This window comes from Homo sapiens, chromosome 1 (assembly GCF_000001405.40).
Source record: "Homo sapiens chromosome 1, GRCh38.p14 Primary Assembly".
Classification (NCBI taxonomy): Eukaryota; Metazoa; Chordata; class Mammalia; order Primates; family Hominidae; genus Homo; species Homo sapiens.
Window position 1 is genome coordinate 204706987 of NC_000001.11, and position 9231 is coordinate 204716217.

Here is a 9231-nt window from a genome sequence, read left to right on the forward strand (position 1 = left end):
TGCACAAACCACGTGTCTACCATTATATTCCTTTCTGTAGCAAAAGACTTGGCATGGGAAGCGTTCCTCCGTCTGCTCCAAGGGAGAGGCGACCTCTGAAAGGAATCCCCTACTCCTGCCCCTGGCAGTGCCCAGCCAGGAAAGGTGCAGGGTCTCTGGGGGTGAGCCCCCCACCTGGGGCTCTCTTTGTTCCTTTCTGTCCTGGGGCTTTGGCTTAGGAAAAGACTCACACACAGTGGAGTTTATGGGCACAGTTGGATGTGTCTGTGTTGCCATGACAACAGTGAGGGCTGCCCCTGTTTTCTTCTCCATTCCATACTCTGCTCCTTTCACAGGCTAAAACCTCTGTCTCTCTCCCCCATTCAAGCACTAACCAGGCCCAGGCCTGCTTAGCTTCCCAGATCAAAGGAAGTCAGGTGTGTTCCGGGGGGTATGGCTCTAGTGTCTCTCTCTCTCTCTCCCTCTCCCCCGTTCAATTCTCAATTCCTTCCTGTCCCCGCTGCACTATTGCTAATTTCCATAGGACTTAACCCCCCCTCCCCCATCCCTGTTTCTCCCTCTGGAAGGAGTAAAGCTATGCAGGTTTTTCTTCTAAGACTGCAGGTTCCCAAGAGCTGGTCCCCACCACTGTGGGTGGGCAAGCATCCTATGCTGTAACTGGGAGCAGAGGGGTAAGGGCCTTGGGCTAGGTGTGTGGGACGGGTGGGGCCTGGGGTTTCCAGCATCCTCTGAGAAATTGCACTCTTCTTCCTCAGGGTATTCCTTCAGCAAACCCCATCCTTGTCCCCAGGCATCTGCAAGGGCAAGCCTCTTCTACCTCAAAACTTGTTGCACTCTTTCTTGCAATTCCTGGTCAAGATTCTTCTCGCACTGTGAGCTTTGCCTGTTTAACTCCACCTGACCTCAAACACCAGGACTCCTCTCAGCTTTTAAGTGCACTCTGGAATATCGATCTGCGCTTGCTTCTGTGGTACGTGCCCCCGTCTACATTCTGCGCTGCGTTTATGTGTCCAGCCTCCTCAGCAGCCCAGGGCAGTAGTTTTGTCAGTCAAGCACAACTTGCTGTGCTCCCCTCCAAATCCCCTCCCCAGTACCAGACCTCTGTCCCATGGCAAACCCATTCTGTGCAGATTGGCAGGGCCAGCCAGCCTGGCCTCCTTTCTTCCACTCAGCCCCACCTGCTCACAGGGATGGGTACCCGGCCCACGCAAAGCCAGACAGTGCCTTCTCTGAGATTTGATGCTAGGATATAAGCTCTTTCTCTGGCCAGGCGTGGTGGCTCACACCTGTAATCCCAGTACTTTGGGAGGCCGATATGGGTGGATCACGGGGTCAGGAGATCGAGACCATCCTGGCTAACATGGTGAAACCCCGTCTATACTAAAAAATACAAAAAATTAGCCAGGCGTGGTGGCGGGCGCCTGTAGTCCCAGCTACTCGGGAGGCTGAGGCACGAGAATGACGTGAACCCGGGAGGCGGAGCTTGCAGTGAGCCGAGATTGTGCCACTGCACTCCAGCCTGGGTGACACAGCAAGACTCCATCTCAAAAAAAAAAAAAAAGCTCTGTCTCTGGCCTGTGAGCTGCAGGACAATTTAGGCTTGGAATTTCAGGGGCCACATTTCTCACTGCATGAAAAGAAACTAATACCTGGCAGGAAACAGTGTCATGACTAATACTTCATGTTTACGCATCACTCTGGGAATTTGCTGAGGGCAAGGGCTGTGTCAACCTCTCTCAGACTGGAACTCTCTAGGGGCGGGAATGGGGTTTACCTCATTAGATTGGGAGCTCCCCTAGGCAGGAGTGACTCTAAAGCAGATTAGGTGCTAAAGTCCTGGTAGTGTAATTGGTAAAATATCATGCATTTAAAGCTCCTCACTGAAGGCTTAATTCCTTATTCAGATATCTTTATAAAAATCCCACCTGATCATAAGCTCTACCTGGGTAGTATCTATCTCATTTGCCATTCCAGGTACTGAGTCTAAAAAGAAAGACAAGGCCATCTTTGCCTTGGGGAATTTGCAATCCTGGAGCAGAAGGTATATGTGCTATGATGGAAATACATAGAGGGTCCAGTGGGAGCATGGGGAGAAATGGAAACACTATCTCAGGACAGGTCTGGAAAATCTTCCGAGAAAAGATCCCAAGCCAAGTCCTGAAAGAGGCACAGGTGTTCGTCATCTGGGCAGAGTGGAGAGTGGCATTCCAGACCAAGGGAACCGCCTCAGCAGAGGTGTGAGGTGCTTGGGAAGGGGAGGTAGGTGCCAGATGTTGGGGGAGGGTGAGGCTGAATCACCTCCAGGTGTTTAGGGGCATCTTCCCATTCACTCCTCTCCCAGACCCTCCCTTGAAGCAGTCTTTAGTGGAACCATCTTCTGCTGTTTGGAATCCACAGTCCTTCAGGGCAGACTAAAGATCCTGGGCCATGCAATATGCTTCAAATGACCTCCTTCCTTAGCCTTCATCTTCGGGCTACCATGAGTCAGAATTCTCCGCTGCAAGTCCCACTAACCAACTCTCTCTGTTAGAAGCACAAATAAAATATGAAATTTACAGAAATATAAATGGAGCGATGTATTTCATCAGCTGAGGATACAAAGAAGGTCACAGATCTTTGAATACTTAAATCAGTCCTTTAAGCAAGCACATTTCCAACTAAGCAGAAAGTCTAGTATCTCTTAGTACCCTCTCTTCCTCCCCAGCGCTTGCCCCTGACAATGGATGGAAAAGCCCTAGGGCTTGTGTAGTGTGATGGGCCAGTAAAAAGATCACTGCAGAGCCGGCCCAGTCCCTGCTTCTATCACTGCCTCCTGAATGATGGCTCTGCATTGGTCTCACACAATCCAGAGGGGCTTCCCCATGGCGGCCTTTATGCCTTTGCCAATCAGACGCCTGCGCAGACCTGCTCATGGCTATGCCACTTCTGGGGTTTCTGATACAGTGCAAATGAGCTTTTACTCACCTGTTTTGCTACTGTCCCCACAGGTCACCAGCTAAGTAGCTGGGTCTGGGAGAGTTTCTAGCCACTGCCACACTAGCCACACTCTGTGCCACACTCTGTGCCAGAACCGGCCACTTTGCCATCAAGGTAATGCAGGCTCCAGTGTGAAGGCAGCTGATTGGGCTATACTGGCGCTTCCTAAATTTCACTGTGTGTGAGAATCACCCAGAGAGCTTCTTCAAGCACAGATCTGGGGCCCACACTCTCAGACATTCTGATTCGGTAGGTCTTGGATGGGGCCTAATAATCTGCATTTCTAACAACTCCCACAGGATGTTGATGCTGCTGGTCCAGGGGCCACACTTTGCTTAGCCCTGTCTGCAGTTGCCCTCAGGATGAATTCTCCCCTGGGGCCCCTTTTGTCTATTCTCACCGGTGATGTCTGAGGTCATTACCATCTCAGTCCATCAGGACCTGCTGAATTAGAGCAAATAAGAGATCAGCGTCCTGATCCTTTTCCTTTCAAGGGGCTCCCTGGGCGCCCTATGCAAATGTGTCTACATCTTCCCGGCTACCTTTGACTCCTCTATTCCAATAGTTCTCACAGTAGGGTCCCCAGACCAGCAGTATTAGCATCACAAGGGAACTTGTTATTTAATAGAAATCCCAATTCTCAGGCTCCAGCACCGACCTCCTGTCCTGTGCACTTTTGTGTGGAAAAGTGTCAGAGTGGCCTAGAGGCAGGATGGGCAGGAGTGAGGAGAGAGCTACTCTTCACTGGGTTTTCCACAAGAAAGGCAAAGCAGGGCGGAGTGAACATTTTAGAATTGGCTAGTTTGGATAATGTCAACAGGCTTTAAACTACAGGGGTGGTCTCCAGTTGCCTGGTACCTGGCCCTGGGATGAGTAGGGCAGAGGAAGATTGCTTCCCGGGGTAAAAGGGCCAGACTGAGATCTGGCTCTGGGTGGGTTCGTTTGCATATAAAAGGCCTGCTCCCACTGAGCCCATCACTGTCTCTAAGAATATGGCTAGCCCAGGGAGGGGCAGTCTGTCTCCAGCCAGAAAGATGTTTAAACATCAACACATCGTAATACATATAGAAAGTTAAAAAGATAAACAATACACCCACTGATTCAGAAACTCTGGGGTGCGACTCAATGCTCCGTTTTCATAGCCTTCCAGGTGTTACTGATGCAAACCACAGTGTGAGATCCGTCACTCTATTCCAAGAGCTGCTAGAAGGGCAGCCTTTGCTGAGCCATAACATAGATCCCGTTAGCCCCTCTCCTAACTTTACCTACGCTCTGGGGCATTCAGTGACTTTCCTAAGGTGACTGGCCGGATCAATCCAGCAGCTGTCAGCCACACACCAAGAGGCGGAGCAGGCCAAGGTGGCTGCAGAGTGCAGTGGAGCCGTGTCCAGCCCTGCACCGCAGGCTGTGTGTCTTTGGCCATGTCACTAACTTCTTTGTGTCTTCTCAGCAGAATGTGGGGACAGAACCTAATGATCTCGAAAGTCTCTTCCAGCGCTGCTGTTTCTTGATTCTCCTTATCACTCCTCAGCGTCCTTATCTGTAAAACAGCGATACTGCCCACCCTGGGATTATAGAGATGATGAAATGAGGTGATGTGTGCGGAAGCACTCAACATCTGCTACAGGCTTGATAAATGTTAGCTGAATTTTAAATTATTCTCTTGTCCTTCCAATTCTGCCCAAACTCTCCTTTTCCTTCTATCCACCCCCACTCTGTGCTTACATCAGGCCTTGGGGACCCTCTCCTCTCCAGGATCGCCTGCTCCCTACAGAATTATCATCCCTATACCCCACAAACATCCCTATACCCCACAAACATTATAGGGAGGACAGTCCCCCATATACTCCCTCAAGAATCGGGATGGAGGGGAGGACTGGAGTCCTGGCTCTGCCACTAGCTTGCTCTGTGACCTTGGGCAATTTGCTTAACCTCTCTGTGCTTCCGTTTCCATCTCTGTAAAACGATGGCTCTTCACAGCACCCACATCCGAGGGTTTTTGTAGGGATGAAATGAGTTAATGTGATGGGATTACATGTGATGGGATTTGAGCAGTGCCTGGCATGTAGCTGTCTAGGTTACACAGTGCCTAAGTCTGTGGCACCCGATAGGTGGAAGGCCTCGGACACAGTGCTAGGGCTGGCCCACCGGCCTCCATCCCTCTACTCAGCTGCTTCCTGCTAAATCTCACTCCCTTTCCCGCTCCAGGTCTCAACGTGCTCCTCTGAGGATCCGCTTGGAACGTCTGCTCCGGAAGGAGGACCCTCGAGTTTCTTCACTGCCTGTCAGCAGCCCCTCTGCCTCCTCCGTGCCCCCGCCCCTCTCTGCCAGGGCGCTTCTGCCAACGGCTGGTTATTTATATCCCTGAGCAGCTGCTGACAGACAGCTGGGAGCTGGGAGGCGGCTGACAGGGACGAGCGAGGCAGAGATGACAGGGTTGTGGGCGGTGCTGTCACTCTTAGCAGGACTGCTGGGCAGAGCCCCCTCCCCTTCACCCAGGGAGGTGAGACTTAGACAGGCTGATGGGCCATCTGGGAAGGGGCACCTCAAACGGCAGGAAGCCAGGGCTGTGAACCCCGGGGACGGGGAGGCAGATGGGGTTGGAGGCAAGGACTTTGCCCTTGTTGACTTTTTCCAGAAGGGGTGGAAGCAGCTGCGGCTTAATTATCTGGGCACTTGCCCAGGGCATCTGCTGCTCACAAGCTGTATGACCTTGGGTAAGTCACGAACTCTGGGATTTTGGTTCCTCTGAGGAAGTGAGATGGTTGGATGAGATGCTCGCTGAGTTCTCTTTCAGCCACATTGATGTAGAGGTTACAAACACAAACCCTGGAGTCTTTGCATCCTGGATCTGCCACCAGCTTGCTGTGTGACTTTGAACAATTTACTTAACCTCTTTGCACTTCCATTTCCATCTCTGCAAAATGGTGGTTCTTCATAGCACCCACATCAAAAGGTTTTTGTAGGGATGAAATCAGTTAACGAATACATGTGATGGGCTTCAAGCAGTGTCTGGCATGTAGTTGTCTAGGTTAAACAGAGCCTGAGTCTATGATTCTTTCCATGTGTCCTCTTGCTCTAAGAAGGTAACTGAGTGTAATAGAAATATTGAGAGTGAAGGGTGGGGACCTTTATATGTGTATTGCCACAGAAAGGTGGTTTTATGGGCTTATATAACTTGTGTCATCAAATGAGTGAGTTGCAAATTGGGAAATGTTTAGGCTATGCCTACATTTATTCTGAGCCTGAGTCCTAGTTTTCTGACTTCTGCTTCTACCTGTAATCTCTGGGGACTGTTGTTTGCTCAAAACAGCAAAAAATTTAAAGGTTGTTGTTCTCCTTTTCTGACTCTCTGTCTCTGTCGTTCTCCCTCTCTTCGCCTCTCCTGTCTCCTTGCTAACTCTTTGCTGTCCTTCTATTTTAAAAATTAATACCTGGTCTTGGAAAGAACAAAATCCCAAGCATATAATTAAGTCCCTGGGCACAGGTGTGCCTACAGCACCAGCCTTGGCCATCAGGGTGGGGTAGGGGCTGAACAGGAATCTGGGTGGGAGCGACCTTGGAGCAGGGAGCATGTTATCCACCAGCTCTTGAGCCCCACCACACACTGACAGACACACTGGGTTTATAGCCACACCTCAGCTGTGCTGTCTGGGAGCAGTTGAGCTTGGTGCGGATGATGTCCGTTTCTCTCTTTTACTAATCTTGGCCTTTAGGAAAGGAGTATCCCCGTAACAGAGGAGGGGAGAGAGGAAGGCAATGGAAGCTAACAGGTTACCATGGAAACCAGCTGAACACAAACTCTTAGCTTCAGCTAATACTTGACTTGCAAGAATACGTCCATAGCCACAACTTAAATGAAACACACACACACACACACCCCTTTAAAAGAAGGATAAATGTTGACTCATTCCTCTCTAATCACAGCAATTAGGTTCTAACGTTGGAGTCCAGATGAGAGGTGAGGATGACATGAATCTGTTCTGCTTTAAAGAAGCCCCTTGCAATTCACTCTTTTCTTGGAAACCCAGAGCATTGGTTCCAACATCCTGACCTTGCCCAGAAGTCATGTAGGGAGGATTATGAGTCCCCACAAGTCCCTTAATTCTTTGCTGTCATGAAGGCCATATAGACCTAAGTTAAGATGTCTGGTTTGAAAGAGTCTCCTGCCATTGGCCAATCCCACTACACTGGAGAAAAAAGGAAGTGTCAAAAATGGTTGGACATTTATTAAACATTTCCTGATCACCCACTATGTGCCAAGTGCCAGAAATTTAAAATGACAATAAAAATAAAAAATCTTGTCCCTGTCATCCAGAAGCTCATAGCCCAGGCAGTAGGAGGTATGATACAAATTATCTGTTACTAATAATAAGGGATCCACATTTGCAAATGGTTTTTATATATGCATGAATATTACATTCAAGGTGACCCCTATGATGTCATGCTTTCTTGAGCGGAGAAAGTGAGAACTGGGGCTCGAGAGAAAGAGAGAGAGAGAGAGAAAGAGCTGATCTAAGACCACGTTTCCTAACACTCCTAGGCCTCCATATTCACACATGCCCCAGCCACAAGGCTGGCAGCTTCTTTCCCACCCTGGGGTTACTGCCTTCCTAATTCACAGGCTACCTCCTTATAAAGGGGGTCCACCCCGCACTATGGAGCACTACCAGAAGCAACACAGTTGTTGTAAGATGCCCATTGGGAAGGGAGTTGGGGAGGGTGTCTTTCAGATGAGCCCACTGGCCGTGTGCTTGTCCTCCACACCCTCTTCCAGCAGTATCTCGTTTAAGCAACAAGCAGCCCTCTAAACCCTATTTGGAATGTGAGTTACCTGGCTTCAGGGAGATTACAGGTGTACAAGGTCACACAGCTGGCCTGGGAAAGAGCCTGGATGCCCCCGACGTAGATCTGTGGGTCTTCAGTGCTTTCCCCCACTAGTCCAGACAGGCAGATCTGAGCTGGAAACGTTGGCTTGCCAGGAGGTGTCGGCCTTGAGCCAATTAGCTCTCAGTCTGTGAGCCCTCTTTCCCACCTCCCAACAGTGAGCCTCAATTCCGTACATTCTTTTTCCACTTCAAGGTTGGATTTCCATCTCCTCTCCCCACGTTTGGAAACTGTCCCTAATCACCAGAGAATCTAATTATCACTCCTTCTAAGTGATTCTCGGTCTCTGTTATGCAAATGTGGCTATAATTGTGTCAGGCAGGTTTTGTTGTCAGTTCCTCTTTCCTTTTTCCGCCTCTCTCCCCATCTCCTTTCAAATGGGAGTTGCAGTCTCCCCTCTTTTTATTGTAAAGGCCTCTAAGGTCCCCGGCTCCCTGAACCACAAATCGCCTAGATTACCCACTCTGGATCCCAGGAGCCACAACAGGCCCGCCTCAGGGCAAACAGAAGGAAAAACAAACAGCATTTAGTGGAATTTATTTTATTTCTTTGGAGATGCAAATCAGAAGGTTCCCAATGAGCTCTGGGAAGGGAGCGTCTGTGTGGGGTGGGAGGAAGTTGGTTCTGTGAACAGCAGCAGAGTCAGGGAAAACAGGCCCCTGTGCAGCCGGAGGTGCTGAGGGCATTCAATGTGGGCCTAGGTGTGTGGGACAGGGGTGGGACGGGTGGGAAGCCCCACCAAGCCCTAAACCACTGCATTTGTTATTTTGTCTGGTTAAAAGTTTCCAGGCCCCTTCTGAGTGGAGGCTGTTAGGATACTCTGGCCTGTTTTCCTCGCAGCCTTGGCAGCAGAGTGGGTGCTTCCAGCGTTTCTCAGGGATCCCCCCACTTACTCCCTATCCCTAGGGAAAATTCAGGACTGCCTTCCTTAGCTGCTGTCTCCTCCTGATCCTTAGCAGGCAGAGCAGGAGGCAGGGAGGCTCTGGTTTGAAAAGCAAATCCTTCTGTTTGTTTATTCATTCTCTCACTCAACAAAACCTTAAGTGCCTACTACACTACAGGCAATATTCTAGGTACAGGGAATTAGACCTGAGCTTTCGATCTGGTGGATACAAAGTAAATAGATATAGCAGAGGAGGTGGCAAAGAATGTTAAGAAACCAGGTGCGGTGGCTCATGCCTGTAATCCCAGCATTTTGGGAGGTCAAGGTGGGCGGATCACCTGAGTTCAGGAATTCAAGACCAGCATGGCCAACATAGTGAAACCCCTTTTCTACTAAAAATACAAAAATTAGGGCTGAGCGCTGTGGCTCATGCCCGTAATCCCAGCACTTTGGGAGGCCGAGGCAGGCGGATCACAAGGTCAGGA

General features: G+C 50.0%; 1 long non-coding RNA gene and 1 pseudogene across 1 annotated transcript, besides 5 other annotated features; both read right to left on the reverse strand.

Annotated features, from left to right (window-relative positions):
* Positions 334-444, reverse strand: RNA5SP75 (RNA, 5S ribosomal pseudogene 75; annotated as a pseudogene).
* On the reverse strand, positions 1893-8064 carry LOC105371693 (uncharacterized). Its single transcript, XR_922454.3, has 2 exons — positions 7811-8064; positions 1893-2523 (listed from the first exon to the last, which is right to left on the reverse strand). It is a non-coding gene; the product is annotated as an uncharacterized LOC105371693 (long non-coding RNA).
* Positions 1973-2942: an enhancer, noted in NCBI's record as "NANOG-H3K27ac-H3K4me1 hESC enhancer chr1:204678087-204679056 (GRCh37/hg19 assembly coordinates)". NCBI's record gives its function as "activates a minimal SCP1, AML or CMV promoter by ChIP-STARR-seq in naive H9 embryonic stem cells {active_cell/tissue: H9 hESC(naive)}" and the evidence as "EXISTENCE:reporter gene assay evidence [ECO:0000049][PMID:30033119]".
* Positions 2943-3912: an enhancer, noted in NCBI's record as "OCT4-NANOG-H3K27ac-H3K4me1 hESC enhancer chr1:204679057-204680026 (GRCh37/hg19 assembly coordinates)". NCBI's record gives its function as "activates a minimal SCP1, AML or CMV promoter by ChIP-STARR-seq in naive H9 embryonic stem cells {active_cell/tissue: H9 hESC(naive)}" and the evidence as "EXISTENCE:reporter gene assay evidence [ECO:0000049][PMID:30033119]".
* Positions 3913-4882: an enhancer, noted in NCBI's record as "OCT4-NANOG-H3K27ac-H3K4me1 hESC enhancer chr1:204680027-204680996 (GRCh37/hg19 assembly coordinates)". NCBI's record gives its function as "activates a minimal SCP1, AML or CMV promoter by ChIP-STARR-seq in naive H9 embryonic stem cells {active_cell/tissue: H9 hESC(naive)}" and the evidence as "EXISTENCE:reporter gene assay evidence [ECO:0000049][PMID:30033119]".
* Positions 4883-5850: an enhancer, noted in NCBI's record as "H3K27ac-H3K4me1 hESC enhancer chr1:204680997-204681964 (GRCh37/hg19 assembly coordinates)". NCBI's record gives its function as "activates a minimal SCP1, AML or CMV promoter by ChIP-STARR-seq in naive H9 embryonic stem cells {active_cell/tissue: H9 hESC(naive)}" and the evidence as "EXISTENCE:reporter gene assay evidence [ECO:0000049][PMID:30033119]".
* Positions 7800-8437: an enhancer, noted in NCBI's record as "OCT4-NANOG-H3K27ac hESC enhancer chr1:204683914-204684551 (GRCh37/hg19 assembly coordinates)". NCBI's record gives its function as "activates a minimal SCP1, AML or CMV promoter by ChIP-STARR-seq in naive H9 embryonic stem cells {active_cell/tissue: H9 hESC(naive)}" and the evidence as "EXISTENCE:reporter gene assay evidence [ECO:0000049][PMID:30033119]".